Source organism: Homo sapiens, chromosome 16 (genome assembly GCF_000001405.40).
Source record: "Homo sapiens chromosome 16, GRCh38.p14 Primary Assembly".
Taxonomy (NCBI): domain Eukaryota; kingdom Metazoa; phylum Chordata; class Mammalia; order Primates; family Hominidae; genus Homo; species Homo sapiens.
The window spans coordinates 89,066,784-89,080,425 of record NC_000016.10 but is presented as its reverse complement, the minus strand read 5'-3'; the positions used below and the strand labels follow the sequence as shown (position 1 = coordinate 89,080,425).

The following is a 13,642-nucleotide window of genomic DNA, read 5'->3' as shown; positions in this document are numbered from 1 at the left end:
GAAAGAGACGCACAGGCCTCGCTGGGCGGAGTTGTCCAAGTGCCAGACACATGTGTCCCGGCAGCTGGCACTGGCTTGGCACAGACCCGGCTCCCAGGGTCTGGCTTCTACATGTGGAGCGGCGGGCACAGATGCCAGCTCTGCACAGCAGCTGCGAGGGGAGGCCTGGCTGCCGCCTTCTGGGACCTATGGTGGGGACGCTTTTCCTGGAGCCTAGAAACCTTTCCAGATCCTCCCTCTTCCCACCACACTCCTCCTCCTCAGGCCCTCCTTCCTCCCTCTGCTTTCTCCAGCAGTCCCGAGCCCCACAAGGTCCTCTCATCACTCAGCGCCAGGCCTGAGGCACCACCTGCACAATCAGAGCAGTGGCCTCTCCCCATGGCTTGTGCCAAATCAGGGCAGACACAGCATTGTCTGGGTGTGTGGGCCGAGGTCCTGTTGGCTGCATTGTTCCCAGGGTCTCCAAGCCTCCATTTAGACCCCAGAGAGTGAGCCAGCTGGTGCCACCAGTGGGAGGGACCCAGAGTTTCTGAGAAACCCAGAGGCTGGAGGCCTGTGTCCGAGCTGCAACAGCTCCCAAGGGAGAGAACCCTGGGACATGGTGAGGCCCCACGTGAGCCAGGGAAGGCCTGGCCTCGAACAGCAGAAAACACAGAAGCACCCGCCTAATGGAGTTCCCGCAAAGTCGCGCTGTATTCCAGCAGACGGGCCCGCCAGCCCAAGGAAGTCACACGTGCGCCCCTCTGTGCTTGGCCCTGTTGGGTTTATGCACCTCCTCCCAGATGTCCTGCGGCTGGCACAGATCTCTGGTGCGGGCATCGCCTGGCTCTGCAGGAGGGCGGAGGAGGGGTGCCGGGGAGCATGTGGCATGTCTGGGTGTAGTGGTGGCATTTTAGGAGCCAGAGTCCAGGGCCCGGGCGGGACAGATTTGGGGGTGTTTCGGGAGCAAGGTGGATTCATCCATCCACACTGCCTCACCAAAAACAGAGGGTACATGAGGTGAGGACGAAGATGAAAACGGGGAGAAAATGGGGGGTGAGGGTGGGCCCGCAAGTAGGCAGGCCTTGAAACCATCTCACCACAGAATGTCCTCGGGGTGCCCCGGCCACGGGTCCAGGAGGAGCCACCTCCAGGGGAGGCTGGCTTTCCACAGGCCCTAGGTTCCTGGGGCTGGGAACCCAGACGACGGGACTGAGCCACTGAGGGGGACAGAATCCATTTGGTGGAGTGACATGAAGCCCTGGAAATAAAACCGGGTGGCTTTTTAAAAATAAATAACATAAAAAATACACTTAACATAAAAATGACACTAAGGAGGAGAAAAACCATACAGCCATCTTGTATACAAGGGGGTCACATTCCCAGACCCCCAGGGATGCCTGAACCCCACATATCCGATGTGTTTTTGATCTGACAGCAGAGGCAGCTCCTGGAGGACTCACCGGTGCGGAGCGTCCACAGCGTGGACTCGCTGGACAAATGGAGGATCCCCTCCCGGGCGGACAGGGCGGGAGGTGTCAGAGTTCATCAAGCCGTGCATAATTTAAAACTTATGAATTGTTTAGTTTTAGAATTTTCCATTTAATATTTTTGGAGCTCTGTTGACCATGGATAACTGAAACTGCAGAAAAAGGGAAACCCTGGGCCCGGCACACCGGCTCACGCCTGTCATCCCAGCACTGTGGGAGGCTGAGGCAGGCAGATCACCTGAGGTCAGGAGTTTGAAACCCGCCTGGCCAACGTGGAGAAACCCTGTCTCTACTAAAAGTAAAAAAAAAATTAGCCGGGCGTGGTGGTGCATGCCTGTGATCCCAGCTACTCGGGAGGCTGAGGCAGGAAAATCACTTGAACCCGGGAGGCCGAGATTGCACTATTGCACTCCAGCCTGGACAACAGAGCAAGACTCTGTCTCAAAAAAACAAAAAGAAAAACAAACCCTGCTTAAGCGGGGATGTCTGTATTTTCCTGTTTCTTTTTCAGACCTTCATGTCCTTGGAGATACTGTCGGAGCTTCCTGGCAGCGTTGACCAAGCTGCCCCTCCCTTCCTGACAACCTTGGCCTCATCGCTCACCCTCTGGGCTCATCCTGCTGCGGGGTAACCAGGAGAGCCCCGGGGCAGGTGCCAGCCTTCAGGAGGAGCTCTGCCTCCTCTGTTCCAAAATCGGGGGAGGGTCCTTCCCACCAAGGGTGCCAGTCTTCCTTTCATCCAGGGCTCCTGGTGTCTCTGAAAATGCTGGAGATTTCAGTGAAACCCCAGAGGGGGCTCGATCCGACCTGAGGTGAGCCCTGGAGTTTGCCAGGGGTGGCTTATAGAGGCCCTCCGACAATGGAGTTCACCGGGGCGGCTTATAGAGGCCCCCCGACAATGGAGTTCACCGGGGCGGCTCGTAGAGGCCCCCCAGTAATGGAGTTCGCCAGGGGCGGCTCGTAGAGGCCCCCCGACAATGGAGTTCGCCAGGGGCGGCTGGTAGAGGCCCCCCGACAATGGAGTTCGCCAGGGGCGGCTGGTAGAGGCCCCCCGACAATGGAGTTCGCCAGGGGCGGCTGGTAGAGGCCCCCCGACAATGGAGTTCGCCAGGGGCGGCTGGTAGAGGCCCCCCGACAATGGAGTTCGCCAGGGGCGGCTGGTAGAGGCCCCCCGACAATGGAGTTCGCCAGGGGCGGCTCGTAGAGGCCCCCCGACAATGGAGTTCGCCAGGGGCGGCTCGTAGAGGCCCCCCGACAATGGAGTTCGCCAGGGGCGGCTGGTAGAGGCCCCCCGACAATGGAGTTCGCCAGGGGCGGCTCGTAGAGGCCCCCCGACAATGGAGTTCGCCAGGGGCGGCTCGTAGAGGCCCCCCGACAATGGAGTTCGCCAGGGGCGGCTTATAGAGGCCCCCCGACAATGGAGTTCGCCAGGGGCGGCTTATAGAGCTCCCACCCCCACAGCGGTCTTGCCAATGGCTGCGCCCTCTTTCAATTTCCAATGAGGGTCCGAGAGGTGCCGCGGTCACAGTGATGAAGGTGGGACCTGGGACTGGAGCCCAGCAACCTCCTGGACCCAGCCCTGCGAAGTGTCCTTGAGGCAGGAGCTGGGCTGGCTGCATGGGGGCCACCTACAGAGTCATTTCTGGCTGCCTTGCCCCGGGTCCGGGGCCCGACTCCATGAGTGTGGCTGACGGAGGCTCCAGGACGTCCTGCAGGGGGTGCAGACACGCCGGGGGCGCCCATCTCAGCGTCACTGAGTCCTGGGGCCTCTATCCTCCTGGAGAACCCCAGGGAAGCCGAGTGATGCCACACAAGGGCAATGTTGAATTTTGTTACTTTTAAACGTAGTTTATTTGCAAGCATGGACGTTATTATTGGTGACAAGTGACTTGGGAATAGTAGGTGGGAGCCCCTGTGGGCTCCATCCTCTGCTTCTTCTGTTCCTTGGCCGACAGGAGGCCAGCCTCCCTGTGGGCCCGCCCGGGTTTCCTAGGCCTTCCTCCCTGGGTCCCCAAACCCCTGACAAGTCACTCTGGGCTCCAATCCTCAACTGCCAACTTGGAGCTTTGCTTTGGGGACTGAGTTGGCTAACAGCTCGTCGGGAGCCTGGAGACCTGAGGCCATGGGTGTCCCTCCACGGGCTGGGCTGGGAGTGGAGCCTCCTCAGGATGTCTCCTCTGCTCACAGGTAGCACAAGCAGGCCCCAGGGCAATGGTTCACATCTGTGCTTGTATGAGTGTGCACGTGCTCACACAATCAAATGCTCACACACAGACGTGTGCACTCACACACGGATACAGCCAGACACCCATATTCCACATGTGCACACACTCACACAGCCACATATGACACCAACCACATGCCCACACGCAGATATGCATGAGCACACACAGACAGTGGACAGACATGTGCGTGCACAGCCACCTGCCCACACACACACACACATTCACATGCACAGTGAACGCACACCACGTACGCTTGTATGCCTGTGTTCACACACCTATGTACACGAGTACACATGCTCACAATGGACAAAGCCACACACACTAACACATGCAGACACTCACATGCACTCATGCATCCGCTCACAGTGACACATGTCACATGTACACATGTGCACACACACGTGCTCATATGGACACACCCACATACATTCACAGACGTGCTCAGTGTACACACTCGCATGCCTGCACATACACAATGTATGCACACACATGTATACACCCTCACACGGTCACACGTGCACACACGTGCTCATATGGACACACCCGCATACATTCACAGACGTGCTCACAGTATACACACTCACATGCACGCACACAATGTATGCACACACATATACACCCTCACACAGTCACACATGTGCACACACACGTGCTCATATGGACACACCCACATACATTCACAGACGTGCTCACAGTGTACACACTCACATGCGTGCACATACACAATGTATGCACACACACATATACACCCTCACACGGTCACAGGTGCACACACACGTGCTCATATGGACACACCCACATACATTCACAGACGTGCTCAGTGTACACACTCACATGCATTCACATACACAATGTATGCACACACACATATACACCCTCACACGGTCACACGTGCACACACACGTGCTCATAGGGACACACCCGCATACATTCACAGATGTGCTCACAGTGTACACACTCACACGCATGCACACAATGTATGTACACACACATATACACCCTCACACAGTCACACATGTGCACACATTAACACACCCTCGCACTCGCATGCATCAACTCAGCTCTCACCATGAACCCACTGCAGCTGGCAGCACAAAAGGTAAAATTAATCGGCAGCCGGGAGGGTGGGTTGCAGTCACGTGGCCGTCAGCCGCAGACATTGCATTTCAATCAAGGGTGCAGAGTTGTTGGGAGGTGCCCCGGCTGGAGGCCTGTCTTTTGCTCCACTGGGCCCAGCACAACAATGAGCCCAGCAAGAGCGTCAGTGGCGAGGGCGGTGCTCTCACTGGTCTCCTTGGCCTCCTGGCTGCAGCCACACTGGGCCAGACCTTCTTTGTTCAGCAGGCACTGGTGACGCCTTCTCGACGCGGACGTGAGGTGTGTTTACACACTCAGTGACCTGGGCTGGACATAGCTACGGCAGGTACCCGGTAGCAGGGATGAGGCCTCTTGGGCTGGCCGTGACACCCTCCCCTGCAGCTCCAGCTGCCTGCCTGGGAGGAGGGGCTGGCCTGGGTCTGTGACAGCCACCCAGCAGCACTGCAGGGCCATGGGGCTCAGAAAATGCAGAGGCATCCCCCGCCCTGCCCAGGCATAGGATTGGCTGAGGCATCCTGCCTTCAGCCGGGTCCACACGTGACACGTCCACACGTGACAGGCCCACAGACGACAGGACCACACAACAGGTTCACACGTGACAGGTCCACACGTGACTGGTGCATGCATGACAGGTCCACACGTGACAGTCCACACGTGACAGGTCCACATGTGACAGGCCTACAGATGACAGGACCACACGACAGGTCCACACGTGACTGGTGCATGTATGACAGGTCCACACGTGACAGTCCACACGTGACAGATCCACACGTGACAGGCCCACAGACGACAGGACCACACGACAGGTTCACACGTGACAGGTCTACACGTGACTGGTGCATGTATGACAGGTCCACACGTGACAGTCCACACGTGACAGGTCCTCACATGACTGGTCCACACATGACAGGTCCTCACGTGACAGGTCCACACGTGACAGGCCCACAGACGACAGGACCACACGACAGGTCCACACGTGACTGGTGCATGTATGACAGGTCCACACGTGACAGTCCACACGTGACAGATCCACACGTGACAGGCCCACAGACGACAGGACCACACGACAGGTTCACACGTGACAGGTCCACACGTGACTGGTGCATGTATGACAGGTCCACACGTGAGAGTCCATACGTGACAGATCCACACGTGACAGGTCCTCACGTGACAGGTCCACACGTGACAGGCCCACAGATGACAGGACCACACGACAGGTCCACACGTGACTGGTGCATGTATGACAGGTCCACACGTGACAGATCCACACGTGACAGGCCCACAGACGACAGGACCACACGACAGGTTCACACGTGACAGGTCTACACGTGACTGGTGCATGTATGAGAGGTCCACACGTGACAGTCCACACGTGACAGGTCCACACGTGACAGTCCACACATGACAGGTCCTCACGTGACAGGCCCACAGACGACAGGACCACACGACAGATCCTCACGTGACAGGTCCACACGTGACAGGTCCTCACGTGACAGGTCCACACGTGACAGGTCCACACGTGACAGGTCCTCGTGACAGGTTCACATGTGACAGGTCTTCACGTGACAAGTTCACACATGACAGGTCCACACTCAACTGGTGCATGTATGACAGGTCCACACGTGACAGGTCCTCACGTGACTGGTGCATGCATGAGTCGTTCATGACATGGCTCATCCATGACATGACTGGGCCGTGTCAGTCCCAGCTCCCTACGGAATTTCGCTGACTGTGCTGGCTTCCAAGGCCGTGGCGCCTGCTCCCTGCGACACGGCTGCTGTGAGGACTCCTGCACACATACTACTCAGGAAAGGCAGCAACAGGGTGTTGTGAGCACACAGTGTCTGTCTTGGGAAGAAAAACGTAGGTTTTCTGGGAGGGAAATAGGTGGGTGTAGTTGTTTCCCGCATGGGCCGTGACCAAGTGCCACACGTGGGTGTGGAAATGGTGCTGCCGTTCTCCACAGCAGCAGCTCTCATACCCGCTGGCGTCCTGCAACTCGATTCAGTCCCGTCACCACCCGTGTGAAAGATCTCAGCGTGTCACACCCTCTCTAAATAGAAGCTGGAGGCCACGAAGGAGGGGTCCGCACATGTGGGGAGCGCCCGTGAGAAGAACCATGTGAGAGGCCGGGTGCGGCGGCTCAAACCATGTGAAGGCCGGGTGTGGCGGCTCACGTCTGTTATCCCAGCACTTCGGGAGGCTTAGGCAAGTGGATTGCTTGAGCCCAGGAGTTTGAGACCAGCCTGGGTTGGTCCAGGTCGAGACCCCGTCCCTATAAAAAAATTTAAAAATTAGCTGGGCGTGGTGGTGCCCACCTGCAGTCCCAGCTACTCAGAAGGCTAAGGTGGGAGGATTGCTTAAGCCCAGGAGGCAGAGGCTGCAGTGAGCTGAGATCCTTCCACTGCACTGAAGCCGGGGTGACAGAGTGAGACTCTGTATAAAAAACAAAAAAAAAAAAAAAAAAAAACGAGATTCCTCGGGGCCACCGCACTCCAGGTAAGTGCCCTGCACAAAGGCAGCTGCCTGACACCTTGACAGCCAGGGAAGGCCACTCCCGATGCGCCTGGCCGTGCAGGACCCGGCTCTGCTGTGCCTCTGAGCCAGCCTGCGCCAGCGTTGTCCTGCACCTCACCTCCTGCTTTGGGAAGCCCAGGAGGACACCCATCGGAAGCCACCACAGTCAGGCTTGGCGCGGGGCGGAGGCTGCGGTGAGGGTCACGACTTCAGCTGACTGGGGGGGCCACACGGAGCCTTGGGCTCTGTGCTTCACCCGCTTTTCTTACTCGTCCTCCCAGCAGCCCTGCGCGCTCAGAAGCCTCAGGGCCTCCACTTCCAAGAGAGGAAATGGGTGCCAGGTTGCCCGGCCCAGGCTCCCGGTGTGACAGACGTCACTTATCATCTGTGATAGTGATAGGGACCACTCTCACCCACCAGCACCCACCCCTGGGCCAAGCACCCAGTCACTTGCAGGTGCAGCTCTCCTGGGTGCCCGGTGACATGGTGGGGAAACAGATTCAGGGAGATTTGCAGACTCGGGGGGGCCCCAGCAGGTGGCCAGGAGGTTGGTGGGTGGAGGGGAGCTGTGTCCGGTCACGGACTGGGCCACCTGCTATCGGTGTAGGGACAGGGCCCACTCCTCCCTCTCCCTGGCTCCCCATGAAACTGGCCCCTGGGAACACCTCTGATCCTTGTGTTTTTATTTAAACGCTCCCCAGAGCACATTTGTCTCGAGTACCAGGGGCATCTGGATTCAATCAAAACGACAGCTGCGCAGTCTGGCCCCGGCCATTCCAGAGTGGGCGTGGAGGCAGCCAGTCTGCTGCAGCACAGCCATCCTTGTACCCCCTCCCCAGGTCCTGCTGGGCCCTTGGTGCCTCGGTGTCCCTTCCTACACGGCTCCCCACTGTCCCCGAGGAGCCAGCCAGCCCCCAGCACCTCCTGTCCTTGTAGACCACAGAGTACGAGGAAAGAAACGCGTAGAGCCAGCTCCGGCCAGCGACAGTTGAGACTGATGGTGCCTGAGTGGGAGAGAGAACAATAAACCCGGAACTGAGGTCTTTTCCGAGACAGCACTGGGCTTAGGGATTTACACAACATGACCCCATTCAACTCCACAAGCCCATAAAGAGGGGCCCTGACTTCCCTGCTTTACAGCTGAGGAAAGTGGAATGGGCAGGTCAGGGTGTGGTGGCCCCAGCTGGGAGCACTTTCCCCTGCCGGCCCAGGAGGTAGGAAGAGAGCGGAGCCAGGAACACCGCAGCAGAGCCCAGGACACCCGTGGGGTCCAGAGTCGGGAAAGGAACCGGGAGGGGGCGGCAGAGGTGCGGAGGGGAGAGGGGTGTTGAGGCCTGGGCTCACTTGCTCTGTGATCTCCAGGAAGGCCCCGGCCTCACTGAAGCTGAGTTTACTCATCTGTAAAATGGGATGAACGTTGGCACCAACCGCATAGGGCAGGAGGATCAAATGAGAAGGTCGGGAGGGATGCAGGCCCCCGCGCAGCCAACGCCGTGTCTGTCTTTCCTCTGTCTCTCGCGGAGGCTGGGTTGGCTGACTGGAGAAGAGAAGCTGGGGAGAGCAGCCGGACCCAGTGCTCACCCGGCTGCCCTGACCTCCAGGAGCATTTCCCGGAGGATACAGGCGACCTCGCTCCTGTTCCATCTGTGGGGACGAGTAAGCAATGTGGTGGTGGCTCTGCCCAGAGTGAGCACTGTCCTGGAAGCCTGCACCCTGAGGCTGGTTCCCGATGGTTCTGCCTTCCCCAAAGCGGCCGTTCCTACCAGGCCGGTTCCCCTGCGGAAGCTCCCAGTGAACACCCGAAGCCTCTGCCACACCCCTCAGTCACAGCCCCCGAGACCGGGTAGGTTTGCCTGTGAGCTGGGCGGGTGCCCCAGGAGGGCAGACCTGGACTCCAGCAGCAGAGGAGAAGAGATGTGGCGCCAGGGGGGCAACCAGTGGAGCCACAGCAGGCAGGCAGATGTTATCCAGAAAAGCAAACCCAGGCAGAGTGGTGGGCAGCATAGCTCAAATCCAGGCTTTTCACCCCAAGTCCAGAATGTTCTGCTTTGAGGCAGAGGGAGCAGGCGAGGCAAGGGTGCTGGCGGGGGCGAGGGTGGCGTTGGGGGGTTGAGGACGGCGGCGGGGGGGTGAGGGCGGCGGCGGAGGGTTGAGGGCGGCGGCGGGGGGGTGAGGGCGGCGGTGGGGGGGCGAGGGCGGCGGCAGAGGGGTGAGAGTAGCTGTGGAGGGTTGAGGGCGGTGGCGGTGGGGGTGAGGGCGGTGGGGGTGGTGAGGGCGGTGGTCAGGGGTGAGGGCGACAGTCGGGGCTGAGGGTGGCAGCAGTCAGTGGTGAGGGCGCTGGTGAGGGCAAGGGTGGTGGTGCGGGGTGAGGGCGGCAGCGGGGGTGGTGAGGGTGCTGGTGGAGGGCAAGGACGGCGGTGGGGGGGGCAAGGGGGGTGGGGGTAAGGGCCATGCCCCTTGCTGCACCGAGGGACCCTGGCACACCTTGGAGGGATCCCCCTCCCACCAGCCAGCAGCACCCCTAGGGTGCCCGGCTGTCCCTGCTTGAGTCCTGTAGACTCTGGCCCATCAGGGGCCACATGTGGCTCTGCTCAGCCTGGGGGACGAGCTCATGGTAGACAGGGAGGGGTACGGGCAAAGACGCCCCCAAACTGCCCGCATGGGGAGAGAGCCTAGCTGGTGGGTGGGATGTGTGGCTGGAAGATGTGGGCTGCAGGCAGGCCCCACTGGTGCAGCTGGAGTTCAGGCTCCCCAGAGCCAGATTCCAGTTGTTGAGTCTCCCCCTGAGACCTTGCTCCATTCCCAGGCAGACCCTCCCACCCTGGCCCACTTATAGATGCCCTTCAAGGTACAGCTTAAATCTCGCCTCCTGCCTCAGACAGCTCGGGCTGCTATAAGAAAGGACCACAGGCTTGAGGGCTTATACACAGCAGACCTCTCTGTCTCACAGTTCTGGAGGCTGGAGTCCAAGATCAAGGTGCTGGCATGGTTAGGTTCTGGTGAGGGCCCGTTTCCAAGCTGCAGATGGCCAGATTCTCGCTGTGTCCTCGCATGACGAAAAGAGGGCTGGTAGCTCTCTCGGCTCCCTTTCATGAGGGGAGCGGTCTCATTCACGAGGGTCCACCCTCATGACTTAATCACCCACCAAAGGCCCCACCTGATACCATCACTCTAGGGATAAGGATTTCAATATATGAATTTGGGGAGGACAGAAACATTCAGTCCACTGCACCTCCTGCATAATTCCAACTCCTTCCAGTGGGGGTGCACCCTGTGCTCTGAACTCAGCCTCTTCCCCCAATTTCGTGAGATACTGTGTGAAGCAGCATGGCTTCATGGAGCAAGACAGCGCAGCAGCTGTGGACGTGGGCTCTGGACATGGGCTCCAACTGGAATGTGTAGCCCCGAGTCCCTGCTCTGCCACTTACTGACTGTGTGGTCTTAAGCAAGTTACTTTCTCTCTGCTTCACTGTCCTCACTCGCAAAATGGACACAGTCATTGGCTTATTGTGAGAATTAAATGAGTTAATATGTATAAACTGTCAAGAACAATGCCACCACAATCATCATCATCACCATCACCACCATCATCATCACCATCATCACCACCACCACCATCATCACCATCATCATTGCCATCATCACCACCACCACCATCATCACCATCACCACTATAATCATTGCTATCATCATCATCATCACTGCCATCAACATCACCACCATCATCATCACCATCATCACCATCACCACCATCATCATCACCATCATCACCACCATCATCATCACCACCATCACCACCATCATCATCATCACCATCACCATCATCATCATCGTCACCATCATCACCACCATCATCATCACCACCATCATCACCATCACCACCATCATCATCATCACCATCATCATTACCATCTCCACCATCATCATCACCGTCATCACCACCATCATCATCACCATCACCACCATCATCATCACCATCACCACCATCATCATCACCACCATCACCACCATCATCATCACCACCATCATCATCACCATCATCACCACCATCATCATCACCACCATCATCATCACCATCATCACCACCATCATCATCATCACCATCATCATCACCATCACCACCATCATCATCACCATCATCACCACCATCATCACCACCATCATCACCACCATCATCATCATCACCATCATCATCACCATCACCACCATCATCATCACCATCACCACCATCATCATCACCACCATCATCATCACCATCATCATCGTCATCATCACCATCATCATCATCGTCACCATCACCACCATCATCATCACCACTATCATCACCACCACCATCACCATCATCACCATCCAGGTTGAATTTCCAGCTCCTTCTCTACTAGCTGCATGGCTTCAGGTGGGCTACTAAACCTTTCAGTACCTCGGTCTCCTCTGTGAGTGGAGGTAACAATGCTTCCACTCCCAGGTACCTCTGAGGATGAACGTGGCTAACCTGTGTCCCTGATACGACAGTGCATGTGGGTAGTCACTTCCTTGCACCAAGAACATGCGCAGAGTATCACCTCATTTGGTCTTCTCAAGGACCTGGGGGGTGGAAGTATTCCTATCCCTATTTTACAGATGGAGAAACAGGCTTGGGTAATGCAGGATTCTGCCAAGGCCTCAGAGAGGTCTGGAGGAGCTTGGAGAATGCCCAGAACCACCTGTGGCTGGACTCTGTCCCTTCCTCTCTTCTCGTCGGACCCACCCCCTCCATCAGCAATTTTCACTTCCAAGCACGCAGCAGAGCCCTTGGGGAGCTGCAGCAATGCTGATGGGATGGGTCTGGCTGGAGCTTGGCTCCAGAACCTCCCCTGGCTTCCCAGGGCCGCTGAGCGAGCTGAGTTGAGACAGAGGCCACCGACCCCTCTCAGAGCCTCCTGCAGTGCCTGGCACTGGGGAACTGTCATGACTAGCTAGAGCCTGGGCCAGTGGTTCCTGTGTGGGAAGGGGTCCTGACAGTACAGCAGGGGAAAGGGGGTAAGGGCTGCAGTGGGTCCTGCTGAAGTCCAGCCTCCAGCCCTGGGGAGAGGGTGTCTCCCTCAGGAGCCCCCGGGCAGGCAGATTAGGGGCAGGGCTGCTGGCACCGGGCCCAGCTGCTCTGGGCAATACGTTTTGCAAGCAAGAGTCCGGGAACAGGACACATGAGCTGGTGCACAGACGTGACGTGACGCACACCAGGAAGGGTATCCTGGGCAGCTGGGGTTGCAGGGTGTGGCACTGCTGTGGTGTCACAGGTGTGGCCCAGCCAGACCCCCAGGGATCCCCCCCAGGGAAGGTGTGGCTTGCAGGGACCACATCTGGACCCGGCTCTGCCTCTCCCTGCAAGCCACGCATGCTCCCTGGGGGGATCCCTCCCCCACATCTTGTTTTAGCCACAACACTCACCGGGTGACCTCCCTGCAAAAAACTAGAAAAAATTCTCAGTGAATGAGCCTCCCCGGGCCACTCTTTCTCCATGTCCTCACTGGCTGTGTTACCTCCACTCTCAGAAGGGGACACTGAGGCTCAGAAAGGTCCAGCAGCTTGCCCAGGGCCACACAGCAAGCCCGCATCAGGACAGGGCCAGCCTCTGCTCCTGGTGTGTCTGTCCAGAACTCGGGTAGCCACATAACATGGCTCTGCAAATGTTTCTGGAAAGTGGCGATGAGGCAGCAGGTCTGTGTCCACACTGCATGTAGTGGGAGGAGAAGGGCCACAGGTCTTGGGGCCAGGCTGGGCTGTACCCGCTCCTGAGTTTGACCCCACCATGGCCTCCCCACCGCCTCCCCTCCCGGATTCACGGTGAATTCCACAAACATTTCCTGCTCACCTGAGTGACAAGCACCTCGAGAGAAAACGACACAGGGGCTTAGGTGGGCAGGGACAGCAATCCACAGTTGCCCGCAGACACAGAAGCCGGGTGAGAGGGGCTCCTTGAAAGGCAGGTCTGGAGAGGCAATTCCGGAGGAGCTTCCAGCTGACGGGGAAGCCCCGGCCTGTCTGGTGACGGCTCACAAGCCATCCAGCCAGGGTCGGGGGACCAGGAGGGACACGGCTCACAGCCCGTCCAGCCAGGGTCGGGGGACCAGGCGGGACACGGCTCACAGCCCGTCCAGCTAGGATCAGAGGGACCAGGAGCGACATGGCTCACAGCCCGTCCAGCCAGGATCGGGGGTACCAGGAGGGACACGGCTCACAGCCCTTCCAGCCAGGATCAGAGGGACCAGGAGGGCCCACCCCACGCTGAATGTGGGCTGACTGGAGCACTCTGAGAGGACGGGGCGGGGGCTGCTGCTTTGCACCGGTGTCCAGA

General features: G+C 58.4%; 1 long non-coding RNA gene across 1 annotated transcript; it reads right to left on the bottom strand.

Moving 5' to 3' along the window:
* Positions 1-4,448: 4,448 nt before the first annotated feature.
* Positions 4,449-9,387, bottom strand: LOC105371412 (uncharacterized). Its single transcript, XR_933889.3, has 3 exons — positions 8,653-9,387; positions 8,230-8,312; positions 4,449-7,066 (listed from the first exon to the last, which is right to left on the bottom strand). It is a non-coding gene; the product is annotated as an uncharacterized LOC105371412 (long non-coding RNA).
* Positions 9,388-13,642: the final 4,255 nt, after the last annotated feature.